General features: G+C 37.4%; 1 long non-coding RNA gene across 1 annotated transcript in view, besides 1 other annotated feature; it reads left to right on the top strand.

Moving 5' to 3' along the window:
• Nucleotides 8,428–8,928: an enhancer, noted in NCBI's record as "OCT4-NANOG-H3K27ac hESC enhancer chr1:221466077-221466577 (GRCh37/hg19 assembly coordinates)". NCBI's record gives its function as "activates a minimal SCP1, AML or CMV promoter by ChIP-STARR-seq in primed H9 embryonic stem cells {active_cell/tissue: H9 hESC(primed)}" and the evidence as "EXISTENCE:reporter gene assay evidence [ECO:0000049][PMID:30033119]".
• LOC105372932 (uncharacterized) overlaps nt 19,697–24,280 on the top strand; it is a 166,214-nt gene continuing 161,630 nt past the window's right edge. Inside the window, exons 1-2 of the long non-coding RNA XR_922621.2 lie at nt 19,697–20,036; nt 22,556–22,669. This is a non-coding gene — a long non-coding RNA (uncharacterized LOC105372932). The remainder of the gene's footprint in view (nt 20,037–22,555; nt 22,670–24,280) is intronic.

Genomic DNA, 24,280 nt, shown 5'->3' on the forward strand with positions numbered 1-24,280 from the left:
AAAGCTGTTCTACAAGGAGTAGATTTCAGTAAAGCACACTGAAAATTCTAAGACTTTAGAATCAAACAGCTAAAGACTGAATCCTGGTTCAATTAAACACAAGATGTGTCAACTTGGTCCAGTTACTTCCTCTTCCTTAATTTGATTATCTGTAAAAACTAGGATAATAATACTCATCATTTGGATCGAAAGTTCAGTTAAAATACAGAATATCTAGAACCATAAAAATCAACATCCATCAAACTCATATACCATCCCAGGCACTATGCTAAGTACTTTACATGGATTATCTGATTTAATCCTCACAAAAATTCCTTTACATGAGTACTATAATTATTCCCATTTACCAACTAGGAAACTGAGATTAGAGAGGTTAAATCGTTTGCCCAAAACCACAGAGCTAGGATGAGGGGAGCTGAGCTCATCAGCCCCGGCATACTGATTTTAGAGTTCACGTTCTTAAAGCATTCTGTTCTATAAAATGCAACTGCGTCTGGAATTGGTGGGTTCTTGGTCTCACTGACTTCAAGAATGAAGCCACGGACCCTCGCGGTGAGTGTTACAGTTCTTAAAGGCAGCGTGTCCAGAATTTGTTCCTTCTGATGTTCAGATGTGTTCACAGTTTCTTCCTTCTGATGGGTTCGTGGTCTCGCTGGCTCAGGAGTGAAGCTGCAGACCTTCGCCATGAGTGTTACAGCTCTTAAGGCGGCGCGTCTGGAGTTGTTTGGGCTTCCCGGTGGGCTCGTGGGTGTCGCTGGCTTCAGGAGTGAAGCTGCAGACCTTCGCGGTGAGTGTTACAGCTCATAAAGGCAGTGTGGACTCAAAGAGTGAACAGTGGAAAGATTTATTGCAAACATCGAAAGAACAAAGCTTCCACAATGTGGAAGGGGGACCCCAGCGGGTTGCCACTGCTGGCTCGGGCAGCCTGCTTTTATTATTATCTGGCCCACCCACGTCCTGCTGATTGGTAGAGCCCAGTGGTCTGTTTTGACAGGGCGCTGATTGGTGCGTTTACAATCTCTGAGCTAGACACAAAGGTTCTCCACTTCCCCACCAGATTAGCTAGATACAGAGGGTCCACACAAAGGTTCTCCAAGGCCCCACCAGAGTAGCTAGATACAGTGTCGATTGGTGCATTCACAAACCCTGAGCTAGACACGGGGTGCTGACTGGTGTGTTTACAAACCTTGAGCTAGATACAGAGTGCTGATTGGTGTATTTACAATCCCTGAGCTAGACATAAAGGTTCTCCTCATCCCCACCAGACTCAGGAGTCCAGCTGGCTTCACCCAGTGGATCCCGCACCAGGACTGCAGTTGGAGCTGCCTGCCAGTCACGCGCTGTGCACCCGCACTCCTCAGCCCTTGGGTGGTCGATGGGACTAGGCGCTGTGGAGCAGGGGGCGGCGCTCATCGGGGAGGCTCGGGCCGCACAGGAGCCCACGGAGAGGGTGGGAGGCTCAGGCATGGCGGGCTGCAGGTCCCGAGCCCTGCCCTGCGGGAAGGCAGCTAAGGCCCGGCGAGAAATGGAGCGCAGCGCCGGTGGGCTGGCACTGCTGGGGGACCCAGTACACCCTCCGCAGCCACTGGCCCCGGTGCTAAGCCCCTCATTGCCCCGGGCCGGCAGGGCCGGCCGGCTGCTCCGAGTGCGGGGCCCGCCAAGCCCACGCCCACCCGGAACTCCAGCTGGCCCGCAAGCGCGGCGCGCAGCCCCGGGGCTGGCCCCTCTCCCTCCACACCTCCCTGCAAGCTGAGGGAGCAGGCTCCGGCCTTGGCCAGCCCAGAAAGGGCCTCCCACAGTGCAGCGGTGGGCTGAAGGGCTCCTCAAGTGCCGCCAAAGTGGGAGCCCAGGCAGAGGAGGCGCCGAGAGCGAGCAAGGGCTATGAGGACTGCCAGCACGCTGTCACCTCTCACAACTTTGAGGCAACTCTTGATAAAAAATCATTTCCCACAACCAGGTTTTTTGATACCAGGTTTGATACTAGGTATCTTATGATGACCTATAAAACAGATACCTACCTGCCCCGTACCCCCAACCCTGCCATGGACAGTTAAGGTGAGATCCCTTTGTTTTGCCAGAGGTAGCTTGGTCAAGCTCCTGTAATAAAAAGCAAGGATTCTTACTATACAGATAGAATAAATGGCAGGTTACTCTACAGAGCTTTAAGGGCAGGAAAGTTAATCCTGTGTTCTGCTTACTGTCTGTGGCAAAAACAGCCCCTTGTTGTCCACTCCCATCTTTGATTCAGTTGACAGACAGCTGCAGCTTAATTGGCCTGCTACACGGTATGTTTGGCTGGATTTTGTGGCAAGCAGAGTCTGGTGGGGGGCCTTAAACAAAGCTCACCCAGCATGTCTTCTGCCTTGCCAAACTCTAAAAATAGAAAGCTCAACTTCTGCAGAGCTAAGGAGCTGAACTAGTCAATGGTTAGAAGATAGGTTTGTCATCTCAAGGGTGGTTTGTGTTTCCTATTAACTGGGGTTGGAATGACAAGGGGCAATCTTTTGAGCACTAAAGTCTGGACAGAATGGCATATGACCGCTATGCAAAGGACTGAATCCTGGTTATAAATCATAGCAACAACAGCCTGAAACTGAGCTATCACAGACTCTTAAATCTCCAAAGTGTGGCCTGGGTAAGCCATTATGAGAACTCTGCCTTCTCAGATAAAAAAAATTCCATGCCTCAGAGCTTAAAGCATACCTCCCTATAATCCATTTCTTTGTTCCAGCCAGACTTTCTTTCTGGAATTTTCCTCCATGCTCCGTGACCTGATCAAGGGTTAAAGAGGATTCCATATCCCACACTACATTAGAGAAGAGTGACAGCATATCAGAGAGAGGCATTGTGGACCTGTGTTTAAGTCAGCCTGTCTGAATCCACATCCTGGCTCCATCCTTCTTTACTAGGTATGTAACCTTGGACAAGGCCTTTAATCTCCATGGGTTTCATTAGACTAGGTTTTGTTATCTATAAAACATGCTTAATAAAAGTTTCAACTTCATAGAGTGGTTTTGAGAATAAAATAAAATAATTCAAGTAAAGTACATATTTTAGAGAAAATGCATCTTCATAATGATTATTAATATCATGTATCATCTGGGAAAGTCTTAGTATGCCTACTGGAGGGACTCAGGAAAGAAATGAAGATGAAGCTTGAGATAATTTTAGAAATACAAAAGGATTCAGAGAATGGCAAAGGAAACTCAATTCTATTTAGAAATAAAATATTCTAAAAAACTATACTCCCAAAGAAAAGGTTTTCTCATTTTGGTAATTGGGGCCTGCCTATTAGCATACCCACGAAGTCTTCTTTCCCTTCAGCATGTTGTTGAAACATACTTCTAGGACTACAGAGAAAATTACTATCATTATTAATCACTGTAGTCATAAATCTAAATGAACAGTGAAAACTTATTTGAGAATAATCTACTGCGTATAAGAAAGAGTGAAAAAACATTATTGAAACTGGAAGAAACAGAAATTGTGCATGCAAAAGAGGAAACTGGATAAAAATTCTACCAAGTAACATTGGAAAATTTAGAACTCTGTTTTAGCCAAATAAGAACAGGCTGCAATGATAAAGAACCAGTCAAAGAATAAGAATTAAATTTAGGAAATTCAAATATTAATCGTTTGGTCACCAGTGCCCAAAAATTAAAGAAAAGAAGCCAAGTAACAGAATGAGCATAGATGAAATACATATTAGTTATATACAGTCAGTAGAAGAAGATTTTTCAGAATATAAGACAAAATTGTTGGCCAGTAAGTTGAAAAAATATAATGCAAAATAAAATTAATAACAATATGGTAACCTGGGAAAAACAATTTAGATTATTTCAACACAACTTTAGGCAGAGGAGCAGTAGTGGAAGTATGCCTGTAATCTTGTATTTTTTCAGGAGAGATCGGTTGTAGATGGTGAACTATTACCTAATTTGTTTGAAAATATGTTGAAATATAATTAATCAAAATTTACATATTATCATTAGAGATATAAAAATAGGAGATTTAACATTTAAGTCATTTGAGAGAGAGAGAGAGAGACAGAGAGGGAGAGAAACAGATATAGAGAGAAAGAGAGAGAGAGAGAAAAACTCAGAAATGAGAATCAGTGTAATCTATAAATTATAAAACCATGGCCTTTAGAGTAAATATCTAATATCTGAGTCCTGGTTTGCCAATTTAACACTTATGAAATGTTGGACAAGTTAATGAATCTTACTAAGCCTCAGTTTCTTCACTTGCAACATGAATCATGAATCAAAAGGTTATTTTGAACATTAAATTAGATAAAAACCAAAAAGTTATTGGAATTTGGCTTGCTGCATTGTAAAATATTTGTACATGTCAGCTCATAATTAAGACTACAAATGACAGGAAAAATAGTAATAGGCAACTTGAAACGACAGCAATACATCCAAGTATATCACTAGTCACAATAAATGTAACTGCATTAAATTTCCACATTAAAACACAGAATTCTAAAGTGAGTAAATGTGCAAAAATCGGACATATGCTGCTTACTAAAGATCTACCTATAATAAAATGTTACTAAAAATTTAAACTGGATAAAAAGGATACACTAGGTAAATGTTAAAACTAATAATAGTAGACAAAGAAAACGCAAATAAAAACAAGTTAAACAGAAATTTTATAAGAGAAAATGTACATTCATTCACTCATTTATTAATATCGACATTTATTTTCTGAACATTTACAATGAGCCAGGCATTGTAAAAGTGCTGGAACTATAATACTTATCTAGGCAAACACATTCCCTGCCTTCGAGGAGCTTAATTCCAATGAGAGTAGATAATAAATTTATGGATTTATAAATATAATTGGCAGTGATGAGAGCTATGAATAATAAGCAGATGAAGGAGAGTGAGAATGATGGGTTTCTCTCTTAGTAGGGTAGTAAGAAATGCCTTTCTGAGATGGTCACCTGAATTGAGTGAGCAAGTCATATGACTGTACGGGGCAGGATGGGCAGGAAGATGTTCTAGGCAAAGTAAACAGCATGATTTATTTTCTTTATGCAATGTGTACACCATGCAAAGACCCTGCGTCAAGAGCAATCCACAAAAAATGGCATCCAGAGAGATAAAAAAAAGCTCTTAGTAATACAAGGAGACATCCAGAAATGCTATGATAATGAGTTGCTTTAATACTGTCCTTCAGAAATTGATAAACAGTAATAGCAAAGGACATCATTTAAAAACTGAATTAATAATGTTGGTTGAATATATATGTACATACATTGTTAACCAACAAGAAAAACACATTTTTTTCAAATATACAAAGAATAGTTAAGAATTAGCCCTACGTTAGCCATGAAGAAAACTAATACATTCTATAAATTCAAATCAATAGGTGGGTATTTTCTGATTATAATGCAATAAAAGTAGATATTAGAAAAACATATAGCCAAATATTGTATCCATTTGGAAACTTATACTGTTCTAACTAAAACTAAGGTTAAGGAAGAAATCATATTAGAATTACAAAGTATTTAGAGATAAATGCAAATGAAATTACCATTTACAAAATACATGAAAGTACTTAAATGTAAGCCAGTATTCCAATGGCTATGTATTATTTAAGCACTGTGTTTTAGAAAACAAGAAAAAATGAAAACAAATTGGGTTCCATTGAAAATAAAAAAACAAACATATAGAGTTAAAAAATATAAAAACAGAAAATAATGAAATATAAAACTACAAAATGAATAAAAAACATAATCTTTAATTAAATAAAAAGCTATTTTATTAAAGAAAATCAATAAAATTGATAAATATTTAGCTATTTAAAGCTAACCACCCCCAACTAAGCATATTATAAATGAGCAAAGAAAAAATAACCACAGCTACAAAAGGATTTTAAAATTCAAGAATATGCTTATTGCTTTTATATTACTGAATCTGGAAATAGATGAAGTTGATGACTTTCTAAAAATATATAAAGAATGAAAACTGACTCCAGATGTGTATAACCTGAAAAATACAATAGTCATAGAAGAAGTTGAAATGATTGTAGAAGACATGACTAACTATATAGAAAAGTTCTAGAGAAATTCTGTCAAATTTCAAGAAACATGCAATTTCTCTGTTATTTAAACTTTTTCAGAGAACAGAAAAATATAAAACATTTTCAACTCATTTTTCAAGACTACCATAATCTTGACACTAAAGTTGAACAGAGTATCAAAAGCTGTAGATCAATCTCATTTATGACAGTAGACATAAAAATCCTTAATAAATATATGCAAGTAAAATCCAGTGGCATACAAAAAATAATACATCATACAGGAATGTCTCCATAGAGGTAATCTATTAATGCAATGTTTTGCATTTTTAGATTTAAAGAGAAACAACTGCATGACAATTTTGATAGAGACCCCAAAGCCCGCTTCATAGATATTCATAAAAAATTAGGAAAAGATCATCTTTAGTTTGATGAAAGATATCTACCAGGGAACTACTGCAAACATCAAATGAAACAGTGAACTTTTAGTTTCACTATTTACGGAACATTTTAGTTTTCCATTGACAGTAAAAATGGGACAATGCATGAGAGGTCACCAAAATGACGTCTATAGAAAGACAACTTGTTGACTGAAGAAAGAGAAAATCATTGAGTAATTCCACAAAGCTTGCTTATTTCAAGCATAACTTTCAAATGAGACTTGTGCGTACTTTTTAGCCCAAGTAATTACCTGTTTTTTTCATGCTTATTTCAAGCATAACTTTCAAATGAGACTTGTGGATACTTTTTAACCAAAGTAATTACCTGTTTTTGTGACATGTTAAAAGTACCCTTTTCTAAGGAAGAAAAACTACTCCTAGGCAATGCACAATTTTCTTTTGCATAATTGCGATTTGATAGACACATTCTTACGCAGCATAGCTCATACAGCAGGAGTGTTATTGAATAAATAAATTAATAGTTAGTTTTAAGTGCATGTTTTATTGCAGCCAAACAGTTCAAATGAATCATCAGATGTTTCTGTGGGCTTTTATGCTCCCTAGAAGGCACACAAATTGACACTGACTATAGGGCTTAGAGCCTAAAAGAATCATCCTGAAAGTCAGCATTCGTTTTGAAAATTGAAAACAACTCAAGTTCTCTAGGGAGACGTTTTGGGAACCAGCACAAGATTTTTAAAAATCTAAGAAGTTTTTTGATATATAATTTAAAGCGTGTTAAATTACTTCTATTTAACTGATTCATGGGATTGTCTGACACACTAGTTTATCTGTAAAACATACCTTGTGAAGCTCCAGACATGATGGCCTCCCATGTAGGAGGTCACACTGCAGAAAGCCCTCTCACTGCTGCTGTCACCAAATGAATTCAATGCTTCCTAAGAGGTGTTTGTGTTTATTCGCAAACATGTTTGTGTCTGTTGTAATTGTTATTTAAATTAGGTAATTTAATAATATGTAAAGCAATGACAGACAATAATGTAAAACAGAATTACTGTTCCCATAAAGTTGAAAGTTTGGAAAATTTAATCAAAACTTAATCAAGTGGCTACCTTTTACCTTATACCTTCTCAATATTCATATCTTGTCAGTAGTGGGCCTTACAAATAACTTCTCCCAATCTGCTATGATGTCTGATTACTTTATCCATGTTATTCTTTAAAGGTAGAAATCAATTTTTGCCTTATAATTTGGGCTTTTAAAAAAAAGTCCATCACCATCCCTATGTAGAAAGATATATTTCTACATAGGACTGGCTACATAAATTGCCAACCCAGTGCAAAATGAAAGTGTGGGGCCCTTTGTTTAAAAAAGTATTAAGAATTTCAAGATGACAACAACAAGTAGGGCATTCAACCACACACTGACCCTTTCTAAGCATTGGCCTCTGTGGTGTCCCACACCCATGAAGACGGTTCTGTTTCTATATCATCTCCTATGAGTATAATTGTTTTACTTTTTACATTTAAGTTTTGAATCTTTCTGGAGTCTACATTTGTATAAAATGTTTTGTAGAGGTTAAGTATTTTTTTCCCCTCACACAGCGAGTGAGTTTTCCTGAAATCATTTACTAAGGAGCCTATTCATTCCTTACTGTTTCATGGTGCCATTCTAATCATGTATTAGGTTTTATATAGATCTCTCCCTGAGCTCTCCATTCAATTCCAGTGATCTGTGTGTGTGTGCATGGGGGTGTGTGTGTGTGTATGTGTGTTACAAGGGCTAGAAAGAAATTTTTAGGCAGATAGCGAGGATAAAGGAGTCCTTGGCAAGGCTTCCATTTTAATAAAAAGCAGTCCCCAAATCATGTTTTTTCAAACGAAGAGTGGCCTGAAAAATTGAGCTGCAGACATAGATAAGCACCTGGAAGTTTGCACAGGTGAATGCTGGCAGCCGTGCCAATAAAAAAGGGCTACCTGAGGGCCAGGCATGTTCAACTTGGAGGCTTCATCTTCCCTTTTCTTTGTCACCACGCGTACAGTAAAAAAAGCAGGCAACATGGCATCGGCCAGGTAAAGAACCTATCTGCATAATAAAAGATTAGGATGGGGCAGCCAGTTTCTTCACACGCTATGCAAATGACAAACCTAGTCTTAACCAGTTCTTCACACGCTATGCAAATGACACACCTGGTCCCACCAATCTTTCATGCCCTGTGAAAATCAGACACCGCCTCCTCAAGCTCATCTAGAAAGCCTCCTGTGTTTCAACACAGAAGCAGCAATCCGTTTTCTCCAGGACCCCTCTCTGTGCAGAGAGCTCTTCTTTTCCCCTGTTAAACTTCCGCTCTTAACCTCACTCTGGTGTGTCTGGGTCCTAGTTTTCTGTGGCTGTGAGACAACGAATATTGGGTATTTACCCCAGACAAACGATGCTACTTCATATGTAGGTGCAAGCACCTGTGTGTTTTATACTTTGGCTATTTCTCCCCTTTTTCTCTTCTAAGTTGCCTTTGCTAATCACATAAAATTTTAGAATAAATGTATTAAGGACCTTTAGAAAACTTCAGCAGAGATTGTGATGAGAATTGTGTTAAATTAGTAGATTAATTAGGGGAAGAATTGGTACCTTTGTAATATCTGTCTGTTCACCCAAGAACTTGGACCATCTATTTAAAGAGATTTTTTTAAAGCCTTTATTAGAGTATTCAAATTTTCTCTAGAGGCTTTGTGCACTTTTGGTTAAGTTATATCTTGAATTTCATTAGTTTTTGTAGAGGCTTTGTACACTTTTGGTTAAGTTATATCTTGAATTTTATTAGTTTTTGTAGATTCTTGTATTTTCTAAGATATATTTTTAATTGATTATAATTTGGAAACATATCTATTTTAAAAGACAGATTTTCTATCCCAAATTATTTGATTACTTCTAAGAATTTGGCTATTAATTTTGTATTTTTCTCCTGTGGAGATGGTTATATCATCTACAAGTAAGACCAGCTATATAACTTGCAGGGCTAGGGTAAAATGCAAATTCAGGGATCCTTGTTCAGAAAGCAGGAAATAGATAAGAGCTGTTAAAGGTACTAAAATAAAAAGTTCAATAGGCTCTCTCTTAATGTGTCATGATATTTCATATTTGCTATTAAATGTTCTTCTAAGAAAGTAAAATTAAAATGTTAATTTATTTGTATAAATTTTACTATTTATCTTTAGTACTGCGCAATGCCAGTTTTAAATGCAAATAAAAGAGTATTTAACTTGAATTCAGAGTTATACAATTCAGGGTAATAATGCCTGTATTTACCAGAACAGTGGAAATGGTCCACAAGAAAACATCCACTGTTTGTGTTTCTCTTTTTGATTTGTGCTGAGCATCCTACCAATACTCTACCTTCTGTTTACTGATGAGTAAGGAAAGACTGAAAGGAAAGGAATTTTGGGTTATCCTATCTTTCCCTTTTCTTCTATATCATAATAATCAGCATAAGTGGTTGGCTAATACAGAGAAGAAACATGAGTGAGAAAGAATATGGTAGGTCTTCTTGGTCATTCATTTTTCTTAGAATGTCACTGCCGTCTTTCTGCATTAGAAGAAAGTTCTGGTTTGAACCAAAATAGCATGTTCTTTCCAGGCTGTCAGGACCCTACTTAGTCATAGACATAATACGCTTACCTTTACACTTGCTTTGAGTATTGCTCAACTTAGTTGCATCATGGGCCTACCACATACTGCACTCATGAGGCATTGTGACCTCTATATGTAAATGGCAAGGCAAGGAATAGCAGACAACTTATTGCATGTTTCTCTTCTACTCATGATGCACATGCTCAATTATCCCATCAGACTTCATTTGCAAAACAAAAATTAGAAAATAAAATTATGAAGAAATCCAGAATGGCTACAACAGAGCATCAAACCAAGCATGAAGCCCTTCTGAGCTCAGGGCCCTGTGTCACTGCAAAGGTGGCCCAGCCATGAAGTTAACCCTTCTGCAAATAATGACTGCAACTTATGACTGTTCCATCTCTTCCCTTCCAATCTCAATACTTTTTATTTCTTTTTTATTTTATTACAGAATTTTCCAGTGGTAACATTAGATATTTAGCTAATAACAAATGTCTGATAATAGTAGCAATATTTGTCATTCTATTCTTGTCCCTGATCAAATGTGTCTAAAGTTTCTATATAAAATAACATTTTTACTAAATTTCTATTATATAACTTTTACAAATATAAGAAATTTTATTTCTGTTCCTAACTTGTCAATTTTTTAATCATAAATTTGCATTAAAGTTTGTTTAATACTTTTTCTGAACCAATTGACCTGACCATATGAATTTTCTTCCTAATCTCTTAATATGGTAAATTGTGTTGATTGACTTTTTGTCACTGACCTATCCTTGCCTGCATGAGATAAATTCTACTTAATACTAAAGTAATTTAAAAATATATACACGAAGGGGCCAGGCACAGTGACTCACACCTGCAATCCCAGCACTTTGGGATGCTGAGGCAGGCGGATCACTTGAGGTCAGGTATTTGAGACCAGCCTGGCCAACATGGTTAAACCCCGACTCTACTAAAAATATAAGAAAATTAGCTCAGTGTGGTGGCACGTGCCTGTAATCCCAGCTACTCGGGAGGCTGAGGCAGGAGAATCACTTGCACCTGGGAGGCAGAAGTTGCAGTGAGCCAAGATTGTGCCACTGTTCAGCCTGGGTGACAGCCAGACTCTGACAAAAAAATAAAATAAAATATGTGTGTGTGGATATATATATATACACACACACACACACAAACACACAGAAAGAAATGATAAATGTTTGAGGTGAGGGATAATCTCATTATGCTGGTGTGATCATTACACATTATATACTTGTATCAAAATATCACATGTACACCATAAATATGTACAATTATTATGCATACATAAAATTAAAAAAAATAAAAAATAAAAACCAAAAATACCACTGGGTTTGGTTATTTAATACTTTAAGATTTTTATATCTGTGTTCAGAGTGAAATTGGCTTATGGTATTCTTTCTGATTTCCTTCATTCAGTGTTGAAACAAGGACTTTCTTCATAAAACAAGCTGTACAGCTTTTGCCATATTATAGTGTCCTCAATGTTGATTAGTTCTAAGTGTTACAAATTCTAAGTGTACATTTCTGTTCTAAGCATAATTTCTATAATGTGGTAATTATTACTGCTTTTCATCAAATATATCTGGCTGTCTCCTTTCTGAGTTCATGGTAGAATTGCATTTCTTCACATCTTTTGAAGTTAGATATAGACATGTGATTTCTTTTGGCTGTGTGAAGTATGAGAGGAATTGACATCAGTTCTGGACAGAAATATTAATGGTGAGTTTAAGTCACCATGATCTTTGTACCCTGCCATAGCAATTGAGGAATTCGGAAGATGAAACCTCCCTCAACCTGGCTCCCTAGGTGAAGATGACTTAGAGAGGAGACCCTTGTCAGCCCATGATGGCTATGTTATAACATGAATAAAAATCAAAAGTTTGTTCTTTCAAGCAACTGAGATTTGGCAGGTACTTTTTATCTCAACACAGCCTAGTTTATTCTGACTGAAACAGCTTGTGATTTTCTTCCTATCTCAAGAATTATTTAGTAATATGTTATATGCTTGCCATGCATATGGGCTGTTTTTAAAGTTATTGTTTATTTTATTGTATTATGGTCTTAAAATATAGTCTGTATGATTCTTGTTCTTTGGGATAAAATTGAATATTCATTTGTTTTAGTACATGATATATTTTTGTAAATATCCCATGTGTGCTATAAAAATATATGATTCCTGTTTATTGGGAGTTGAGTTTTATGTATACAGATAGTATGTATATATATAGTGATTTGAATATATATGTGTGTGTGTGTGTGTGTGTGTGTGTGTAGATATGAGTTCAAGGTGGTTTCTTGTAGGTGTCCCACGTGTCTGCTCATTTTTTGTCTTCTGGAGCCGTCAATTTCTGGGAGACGTGTTAAAATCTCCAGTTACAATTCAGATAGTTGTTAATGCTCGCATGTTGGCACTATGTCTTAGGTCTACACATGTTAATATTAATTGTGTCATCTTTTTCTACTGTTTTGTTACTGAGTATAACATTCTTCTTTGTTCTTTATGATATCTTGCCCTACATTTTCTTTTAAAGTTTATAAAGTTTGTTACTTTTATTTTTGTCTTATTTGTGGCTAGTACATCTTTTTCCATTCTTTTATTTCTACCATTTTTATATTCTTTTGTTTGAACCATGTCTTTTGTAGCCATAAATTGTTAGATTTGCTTAATTTTAGCCAGTATGAGGATCTCTTTTTTTACTTAGTTATTGATATCATTGGGACTATTTCTGCCATCAAATTTCATATTTTCCATTTATTGCACTTTAATTTTTTAAAAGAATTACATTCCTGCTTTCAATTCAATCTACTAAATTTTATTCTTCTTGTTTAAAAGTTATATACTGTGTTCTTTTCTTTTTTTAAAAATGAGTATTCTTAACTCAAGATCCATTCCCATGTTTATTTTCTCTATAGATTTCTTAAGTTCATCTATATCTATATCTATACCTAACAATGTAAATATCTTGGCATGTCTTACCAACCATGCAAAAACTCTTCCCCAATGCTCACCTCATGATAGTAATTTGTTTAAAATGTTAGTTTTAACTGTTATGAATTTTCTTCCTCTCTCTGGCTCTCAATTTTGTAGTTTAGATAAGCCATTTAGTGACCTTTAATTCTCATATCTCTTACAGCATCCTCCTGATTTATCTTTTTATTTTTATTTGCATATTTTCTTTAGTAATTTCTTTGAAAGTGAGAATTTATATAAAAACTTTTCTAAAGCCCATATGCCTGAGAATATTTTTAATTACATCCTCATTTTTAAATGACAATATTGCTGAATGTAAAATTTAAGATTCTAGGTTTTTTCCTTAAAAAAGTTATCTATTTCTTGCATCCATGTTGGTGCCAAGTAATATGAATTACATTCTTTTTCCTGTGTAAATTATTTTCTCTTAATCTTTGAAACATTTTGAATAGTCTATCTTTTATATTCTTATATTTCATTATAATGAAATATAAGAATTTCTCCCCTCTTTATTTTTTATATTTTGGCACTCTCATTATCTGTACCCTGATACTTCTGCTTATATCCTCCACATCTTTTAGCCTTTCTTCTATTCTTCTATTTTCTTTTCTTTTCTTTTCTTTCTTTCTTTCTTTTTTTTTTTTTTTTTTTGAGACAGAGTCTCACTCTGTCGCCCAGGCTGGAGCGCAGTGGCGCGATCTCGGCTCACTGCAAGCTCTGCCTCCCGGGTTCACGCCATTCTCCTGCCTCAGTCTCCTGAGTTGAGTAGCTGGGACTACAGGCACCTGCCACCACACCCAGCTAATTTTTGTATTTTTAGTAGAGACGGGGTTTCACCACGTTAGCCAGGATGGTCTCGATCTCCTGACCTCGTGATCCGTCCACCTCGGCCTCTCAAAGTACTGGGATTACAGGCGTGAGCCACCGCACCCGGCCTAGCCTTTCTTTTATGTTTTTCATTCCATTCTTATTACCTTCTGAAATAGCTTTTCAATCTGATCACCTGAATATCTATTAATCCCAAAGCTTTACCCATTCTGTTGTTTATTCCTTCTATTGGATTCCTTATTTCACTGATTACATTTTTTTAAACTTTATCATTTCCACCTGGTTTTTGTTATGACCTTTTGTCCCTTATTTATATTATTAAGATCTTACTTTATCTCTTGAATTATTTTATTGCATTCATATTTACATTATTGCTGTGTCAATCCTTATTCTGTTTCACGAGTTATCTGTTCTTTGGTTGGTTGTTTTTATTTCCTAGTGAGTGCATTCCTTAGGTAAATAAATATATCGGTCCAAAAGCCTGTTCCCCAGAGTGTGTTGCCTGCTCAATCAAGTAGGATGCTTCAGAGAAGGACTGAGGGTTAATTCTTGGTATGTTTCTTTCTCCCTGTAAATTAAAAGAGAGGGAAGGTGATGAGATCCAGTTTGGAGAGCTCTTGGCACTGTGAACCCATTACCAACCACCTCCATTTGTTTCCTCTTAGTCCGCCAAACTAATCCTCTGTTCCTTGTTTTATTTTTAGTCATTCATACAGTGACTTGATACTTTACCAAGGCTAGCGATTCAGATGAGAAAGAGGTATAGGGGTGAATGCTCAAGGGTAGAGAGTAAGGCATCATCTGTTTTCATCAGCTCATCACCTAGCAAAGCTTTTATACTACCCTGATAGTACCTTGACAAGTGGTCAGGTCTGTCATTGCTGATTTTGAAGCTACAAGGCATCCAATGAGTCTCCTAGGCAAAAGGAGGACTTGAAAACCCTTTTGAAAATAACCCTCACAGCTACTATATGCAACTCTCCATTCAAGGCTGTAGCCACCTACTCCTGTGTACCACACACACCAATTGATAGGCTTTGTTACTCCCCATAGTTTTCTTTAGAGCTTCCTATTTTGTGTGTTTGTTTAAGTTTCCTGAGAGCCATGCTCCCATTTTACTTCCGTGGTTTTCACCCTGTTGATTTGGAGAGGGACAGGCAGGAATCCATGCTAGTTTGCCATTTTTTCAGAAATGAAGAAACATCCTTTTTTTATTTACTAATTTCTGCACCCTGAGTTGATTCCCCTGTGTCTTTTCTCTTTTCTATTTAATTTTTTATTTTTGTAAAAGACACATACCGTAATTTATCATTGTAAGTCTATAGTTCTGTGGCACATTTACATTGTTATGAAATCTTTCTATGACTTTATGCCATATCTAAACTTCAAAATTTCTTAATTTATAGTAACCACATGTTTAAATTCTAGGATATATTTTAAATCATTTTAATCTTGTTTAATGGATGCACTACCATCTCAGAACTCTCTGAATAACCAATTAGAGATGATTTCTTTTATTTAATTGAGATAATCTTTTAAATATTTATAGGGTACATGTCATAGTTTGTTACATGCATAGTATGCATAATGATCAAGTCAGGGTATTTGGGGTAGCCATTACTTTGAGTATTTCTCATTTCTATGTACTGGGAACAGTTCAAGTCCTCTCATCCAGCTACTCTGAAATATGCAATACATTGTCGATACCTATAGTCCCTCTACACTGCTGTTGAACAATACAACTTATACTTTTTATCTAACTGTATGTTTGTACCTGTTAACCCACCTCTCTTCATTCCCCCTGCCCACATACCTACCCACCCTTCCCAGGCTCTGCTACCTACCATTCTACTCTATACCTTTATGAGACCAACTTTTTATCTCCCGCATGTAAGGGAGAACATGCAGTATTCATCTTTCTGTGCTAGGCTTATTTCGCTTCACCTAATGACCTCCAGTTCCATCCATGTTGCTGCAAATGACTTCATTTCATTTTACTTTATTACTGAATAGTACTCCACTGTGTAACCACATTTTCTTTATTTGTTCACCTGTTGATGGACCCTTAAGTTGATTCTAATATCTTTGCTATTGTGAATAGTGCTTCAATAAACATGTAAGTGCAGGTATATTTTTGATACAATGATTTGTTTTCCTTTGCATAAATACCTTAGTAGGATTGCTAGATTATATGTAGTTTTATTTTCATTTTTTGAGAAATCTTCATAATGTTTTCCATAGTTGCTATGCTAATTTACATTCTCACCAATAGTGTATAAGGGTTCCGTTTTCTCCACATCCTCACCATCATCTGTTATTCTTTTTCTTTTTAATGATAGCCATTATAATCGGGGTAAGATGATATTTCATCGTGGTTTTGATTTGCATTTCCCTGATGACTAGTGTTGTTGAGCCTTTTTTCATACACTCGTTGGCCATTTTTATGTCTTCTTTTGGGAAATGTCTGTTCCTGTCCTTTGCCTACTTTTTAATGGGATTTTTTTTAGTGTTGAATTGCTTGACTTCTTTATATAATCTGCATATACGTTTTTGTCAGATAAATAGTTTGCAAACATTTTCTTCCTTTCAACAGATGGTCTCTTCATTTTGTTGATTATTTTCTTTGTGGAGCAAAAGATTTTTAGTATAATACGTCCCATTTGTCTGTTTTTGTATTTGTTGCCTGTCCTTTTGAGATCTTAGCCACAAATTCTTTGTGGCTTTTTGTTTTCTTTTTTTCTTTTTTTTCTGGAATCTCGCTTTGTTGCCAGGCTGGAGTGCAGTGGCGTGAACTCAATTCACTGCAACCTCTCCTTCCCAGGTTCAAGCAATTCCCCTGCCTCAGCCTCCTGAGTAGCTGGGACTACAGGCATGTGCCACCACACCCAGCTAATTTTTGTATTTTTAGTAGAGAAGGGGTTTCACCATGTTGACCAGGATGGTCTCGATCTCTTGACCTCATGATCCACCCGCCTCAGCCTCCCAAAGTGCTGGGATTACAGGCATAAACCACTGCACCCGACCGAAAAGTCTGCAACTTTCACGCAAAAGTCAGTACAAGTAAACATTTGCACCTAAATACTTCAATATACAAATAAAGGACTAGGGATGAGGGTTGGTTAGAACCAATAAAAACTTTATTTACCTAAGATTGGTAGAGGGGGCAAAAAATGATCAATTTCTTTTCTGTGAATTTAATTCTTTTTGGCCAGCAATGGTATTTACTGAATTAGGTAATGTCATTGTCATTTTGCCCACAGAAAAAAGTCTATGCTATAGAGGTTCCAAATATTTCTTACCTAAAGTCTAAATTCTTAGTGTTTGAATTTCAGTCTTTCTATTTTCTGCCCTTATATTTAAAATGTATAGTTTGTAAACAAAACATAGCCCTTTTTTTCTCATCTAGTCTAAAAGTTTAGGCTTTCATTTGGAGTATTTATCCCATTTACATTTAATATAATTACTCATTTATTTGGGTTTATACATAGCATTATATTTTGTATTTGAACTTGAATTGTCTTCTTTGCACTCCCTTTTCCCTCTTTCTTGTATTGTTTAAATGAATTGGATTTTAAAAAAATTATTTCAGATAATGAACAGACACAAATCACAAAACAGTAAAGAAAACAACCATCATGAAAGACACCAAGAAAAACAAATAGAACAGGAGAAAGTGAGAGAGTTCTGAGAAGAGAAAAAATATATATTAAGAAATAATCTCCAGCATCACACTACCTGTCGTAAAATTATGCTATAAGGCTATTATAGTCAAAAAAGCATGGTATTTCTATAAAAACAAACAGATCAATGGAATGGAATAGAATAGAGAACCCAGAAATAAATTCAGGTATCTACAACCAACTGATTTTCAAAGATGTCAAGAACATACAACAAGGTAAGAAAACTGGTGCTGGGAATATTGGATATCCACATGCAGAAAAATGAAACTATAACCTTACCTCTCACCCTATACAAAAATTAGCTCAAGATGGATTAAAGACTTAAATATAAGACCCAAAACTATAAAACTACTAAAAGAAAACAGAAAAAAACACTTCAGGAACATTCAGTATGTTCCGTTGGATACCTCTTTCTAGTTGATAAAGTGCTTTATATAAACATTATCTCCTTTATTACAGGAGTGATACTTTGCAGTGAGCAAGGCTGGTAGGATTTCTATTTTACAGATGAGTACATCAAGGCACAGTGGCTTCCTCTTACCACATTGTGGGCAGACTCGGTGCTTGTATATGGTCCTTCTGCTGCTCCACAGATATTCACACACTCTCTCTTTGTGAGAAAATGTGATCTCCCTTATCAGTAAGCAAATAAACACAAAACTGGTTCAGTCTTGCTGGCTCATTTTGGCACATTATTTAGAATGATGGACAACAGACAGAAATGAGTGCCCATAGTGTAGAATCACCCTATAAAAAATACCTGCTTGAATTAGGGTCAGCTGAGAATTTAGCCTTAGGCCTACAGAAGGGTGTGGGGGAACACAATGGAAGGTGAAGGAAGAGAGAGTGCAACAGGGAAAGAGTGATCTCAGCAAGAACTATTTCAGGAGCCTCCTTTCCTGTGAGTTTTATTCTACAAGATTATAAAAGCCAACCCCAGGCTGCAGATTTTCAAACAGAAACACAGTCCCTTGGTTTGCTTTCTGACCTAGTCCTCTTCCATATAACTCAATGTGTCCAACACACAGAGTACAAAAGTTACATTTCTTGGAACAAAATCACACACAAAAAAAATTTCTGGTCTTTCCCATGCAGTTTGTTTACTGGTCTATGACTGGCTTAATCTTATCAATTCTGCTGAGCAAGAGGCTCTGAACAATCTTCCTGAAGCTTGTCTCTCAGCAGGCAATTCTCCATTCCTTGCTACCTCATTAATGTCAGAAATCCTGAGGTGAGCTGTTTGCCAAATTGTGGCTCTAAGAATAAAAGTCGGGGAGGGGAGAGAGGACACACAGAGAGAATGTGCTCCTAATTTCCTGTATATATGCAAATATAGTACCTTTTTTCTCTTATCCCTGCAATCCCTTCAATAAAAGGAGGATAGTGCCCCTCAAAGAGAATGCAGCCTAAAGCATGAATTATAATCTTGCAGAGAACAAAAGAAACACAGAGAAAGAAAGGAACAAACAAATCCTTGGATGTTACGGCCAAAAGTACTCCAAAGACAGGTCTTTGGACCCAGGATTGACTCCATTCCTCTAAATCCACCTGGGATTGATAGTTGTCTCAGGGTGAGTGGGGTGGGGTGGGGGGAAGGCGAGGCATGTGTGGGGGTGGGGGCATGGACGTAAAGGGCAGGATGGGGAGAGGGAAGCAAGAAAGAACTGACTGTCTTGGGTGATATTTGCAATGATGAAGCCCCTAAGCACTGAGAGGATGACAGAGTCATTGTGAAGCAAGGGGAGTCCAGGTAAACATGCCCCTTGAGTACCACCATTCCAGTATCCACAGCTGCTCCCGGTGTGGAGGCTGGGCAATGGCTAGTACTCTTAACTGCAATACCAGTGTGAGTGCATTGCTAGGGTGAATCCAGGATAAATTAGAAAAAAATTGAGTAAGATTGCCTCACTATAATAGCAACAATCAATAATTGTGTAGCTCTTATGATGTATCATAATGTGACATGATGTCATAATGTGACACATCATATGATGTCTTTTCTGAAGGTTCTAAGCACCTGTAAAGGTGAATTAGCTCATTAAAAATAATTTTAAGGGAACTCTCTTTTTGTGGGTGATAAAACTGAGGTGCAGAGAGGTTAAGTAATTTGCCCAAAGGCACACAGCTAGTGGTAGAGCTGGGATTCAAACTCAGGCAGTCTGATGCCAGAGCATGTGTTCTTAACACCACATTTTACTATCTCTCAAGGCTAAACAAGGTTGTTCATGCCTGTGACATTTAAAATAGTAAAATATTAATAATAAACTTCAGAAAAAGGGAGAAATATTTGAATAAGTTAAAACCACAGTTTTAAAGGCATGAAAATCTATATTTTAAAATGATATTCAATAGCATAGGAAAGTCTTCACGACATAGTATCAAGAGAAAAGGCACAATGTAAAATGACACAGAGTGTTACCCCTGCTTTGCTTAACAACACAGGGTTTTGTACTTATCTCCATATCATCTATCTCTGAATGGGTAAGTATAGAAAAACAATACTAGAAAGAAATACACCAAAATATTTACTATGGTTAATCCCAGATAGTAGAATTAGTGGTTTTATTTTCTTCTTTATACTTTTACATATTTGCCATTTTTTAAAAAACAATCTACATATATTTATAATAGAGAAAAGATGTGTATAGGGAAATAATGTGGTTGAGTCTGATTTCTTCTTTCCCATTAAGTGCATTCCATCCTGAGACATGCTATTCTCAATGCTGGCAGCTCTTCACCATGTTGGGGATGGTGGGGAGGTGGTTCTGCTTGCACCCCCACCCCTGCTCCCCAGTCTTCTGCATTCCCTCCTCCTTCCAGCTCAGTGCTCTATAAACATTTACCTCAGTCCATGGAAGGGAACCCTGTGGTGAACTCTGGGATGGTGCAAATTTCTTTCCAGTGATTTTAATCATCCCGTAAATTATGATGTGTTAAAGTTTTGGTTCTGTGTATCAGATTCCTGTTCACAAAGCAGAGGTGTTACCTAGGGGCTGAGCTAAGATATGCATGAAGATAATTGAAAGATTTGACACAAGTAGTATCAGGTAGCCAATATATTTATATTTAAGCTGGGAAAAAAATGATATGAAGCCTTTTAATAATAAAAATGCCTATACATAGTTGTTCATTTATAAATGGAAGAATGGGTTATCAGTGAAAATACATCATCTGGTCTTTTGCACCCTGGTTTTCATAAAACCATAAATATGGGACAATCTTGCCTTGAATTCTCTGATAAGAGAATATCCATCCTATGTTCTCACTGTCTGTTGAATGTCTCTTTCTTAAGGAATGAAAAAAGATTATTTAACTGTCTTTGCTATTTGTGGAATTTTCTTTTTGGTTTCATATAATCTAAATTCTTCCTTCTGTGACTCAAACATGTTTTTCTCTTTTTGTGTATTCAGCAAAAGTATCCCCCAAAGGCAGCTGGCCTTTGGCTCTCTGAGGTGCACTAAGACATTAATTAATGGATCTGCTCCATGATTCTTTTAATGAGAAATTCAAATACATAAACCTTTAGGATCAAATATGACCCAGAGAGATTCCAGAATTCCCAAGCCACCCACAGGGTAGTCTGATGTTTGTTAATGTGACTGTCACCATTCTCCAAATGTCAAAATGGAGGTCCAGGTGAGAAAGAGGAAGATGAGAGGAGCTTGCTAGGGACAGATCCTTGGCATGACAGCAAGTTCCCAGCAAACTGGCATCAGTCCTGTTCTTGCCAGGGCTCAATCTATTTACCTGGGTCCTGTACCAGATCGGTTGACGTCTGAGTATTAAAGAAAAAAAAGAAAAGATTAGGTCCTGGAAGGATTGACTGTGGGTCTGCAGAATTGTTTTCCGTTTACTGGTGTGGCCTAAAGGGTCCCACACCACCCTGGGGTGACCCAGGTCAGCCTTGACCAGATGTGGGGCCAGCACACCCTGCCTCCAGGCAGCCTATGAACCAAAGTTCTCAGTGCCTTTTGGGACCAAAGGCATAAATCATTGATTTTCTATGAATTAGGGATTAGTGCTAAATTGTGTGCTTTCTATTAATAGATCTTCATAAATGCTGCAGGTGTGGCCCGAGCACCTCTTTGAAGTACTGCTTAATCGTCCCCCTTCCAAATCCTCATAATCCAACCCTCATGAAAAACCCTGGGGATTATTGATTGAGGGGGCCTTGGGGATCCCTAAAGGCACTGCAGCTCAGACACCAGCCTGTCCTGGAGGTGCGGCTGCAGGCTGCACCCGGAATGCATGCCAGGTGTGGCTGGGCTTGCTGCACCAACCTGGAGGGCCAGGCCAGCTCCTCCCAGGCAGGGACAGGGTGGAGCCCAGGGAGAAGGCACCAAGGTGAGCCATGCCCACTTTAAAGGTAGGGATTTCTATGCATGTAACAAAATATCACATGTACCCTGTAAATACGTACACGTATTTTTTATCAGTAAAAAAAGAGTGGAGGATTTTCCTCTTAATAACTGTCTTGCTTAAAACAACATTCTTTGGAGCTTATAGTTTGAGATAGGACCTCTTATTTAAATAATTAATTAATCAATTGTAATTAATTTAAATGAAAATAATTCAAACAGTTTATTTTCGGTAATTTAAGTACTTTAATTAAATTTAATTCATTTAATTGATTTCATTTACTGTCATAATCTGTGCCTCCTCTTTAAGCCCAGATCCTTTAGCTGCCCTGTGCTACTTTTCAGTCAGGCCGTGCAGCGCCTTATTTAACAAGATTTTGATATATCCATACAGTCCCCACCTGGAATGTCTTTCCTTCTCCTCTCTACTTTATGAAATCCTTCTAATTGGTCAAGGTCTGGCTCAAATGTCACCTTTCTTATGAAGCCTTCCCAAGTTCCTGGGATGACTTAGTCACTTCCCCCTTTCTGTTGCCATTATACTTTGTTCATGCCACTATTTTAGCACTGTTAATGCTTGTATCTGTTACATTAGTATAGTTGTTTATTTGTTCAACTCATCCCTTATCTCCTGGGTTCCAGGCACTGGGCTGGGTGCTGCAGATACAAAGTTGAACAAGATACAGTGCTTGATTTTGAGGAAATCACAGAGATGTGAGGATCCCAAGGTCATGGGGAAAAGATGAAAATTACCAGGTGAGAGGAATATACTAGTTGTTATACTAAAACGTTCTCTGAGGTCTTAGGTAGAGAGCCACTGGGTTGTAAAAACTTGAGAGCTGTCTTACTGGGGACACCCAGTAGGGTGCTCGCACTCCCCAGTGCTCACTAAATCTCAATGGAATAATTGGTGCAGTTGAAAGATGCCTGATTAGACTTGAATTTCCAGGTTGGAGTTCCAAGTTGTGCCTCTTAGAAGATGCGTAATGTAATCAGATCATGCAAACACTCTGTCTTCCTTTCTCATAAATGAAATGGATATAGTAAGAATAATCTTCTTCTAGCACTGTTAGGAGAAGCAAATGAAGAAATGTAAGTAAAGGCAATTTGAACCCTCTGGAGGTAAATAAAGGTAATGCCCCCTTGTAAATACTGTTACCTTCGTGACTTAGAGCAATTCTTTCTACTGACAAGGACTCTATACATGAAACCCTATGGGATTAACTATATGATCTGGAAAGCTAAAACTATGGCTGGAGCTAGGAGAGTCAACAAGGGACAGGAAGGTCCTGTTTGTTTTCACTCCTCCTGGGCATTGGTCCATATGTTTGCTTGGAGACCATAGGGTTTAGAGATTTGAGATAACTACAAAATCTCTTTAAAGTGCAATTGTTCAGTTCTATTTTATGTATAACAGAATCAGTGCACAAAAATATCCACATGTCCTAAGAAGGACTATCCAAATAGCTTTTTTATGGTCTGATGGAAATAACTCCTGTCAGACTCAGAAACAGGCAGATGTCTGTAGCTGTTATAGGTGGGCCTTGAAACTTGCTGTCATGTTCAGATTTCTTCTCATTGTCTTTATAACTGTGGTCAGGAATGAACAATAGCCTGTTAGCATGAGTCTGAGGGTAGATAAATCCATCATTGGTTTAGGCAGCTTTGCATTGCACCATAGTGCTAAAAAACACTAAATTAATCAGCTGGTAGAAAGACACCCTTGGAGGTGAATGGATGGAAGAAGATGTGAATAGAAAGGAACGCATTTGGACAGGGATCTATTTATCACTTCACCTTAAGTGCTTTGTGGGCCTATAAAAATATGGAAATGTGTGACAGAGTAGAATAAGCAAGGAAGGGTGGCAAAAGCTTCCAAGGGAAGGAATGATGCTTTTCTTCTCACAGTAAAGTCCAGTTACATGAAAATGGTTTTGGAAAAATTTTTGACTATCCTTGCCACATGAAATGGCATTTGTTGGATGAGATCATATGCAATGAGAAATAAAACCCCATTTAGCTTGCAAAAATTAAAACAAAGGCTTTTCAATGAGTTCAGGTGATCCTTGATGTACAATTCTGTCAGAAGCTGAGTTTAGCCTGCATAGTTCACTAGCCCCTAAACATCCTTGCCACATGGAGGTGAAGCCAAGAGTCCAGGCAGCCACAGTGAGCTAGCTATGAGGTGCACTGTGGAGTGGAGCAGCACCACTCAGCACATATCTGGGAAACCACTCCTGTTCCCTACCCATCACTCTGCCTAGCAGGCTGGTACACTTCTCTCTATGACAATATGTCTTCTGGCTTTTGTTAAGCTGCTCCTTTACCATAAAACAAGAAAGAAGATAAAATACACAAATTCCCTTT

The sequence above is a fragment of the Homo sapiens genome, chromosome 1 (genome assembly GCF_000001405.40).
Source record: "Homo sapiens chromosome 1, GRCh38.p14 Primary Assembly".
Classification (NCBI taxonomy): domain Eukaryota; kingdom Metazoa; phylum Chordata; class Mammalia; order Primates; family Hominidae; genus Homo; species Homo sapiens.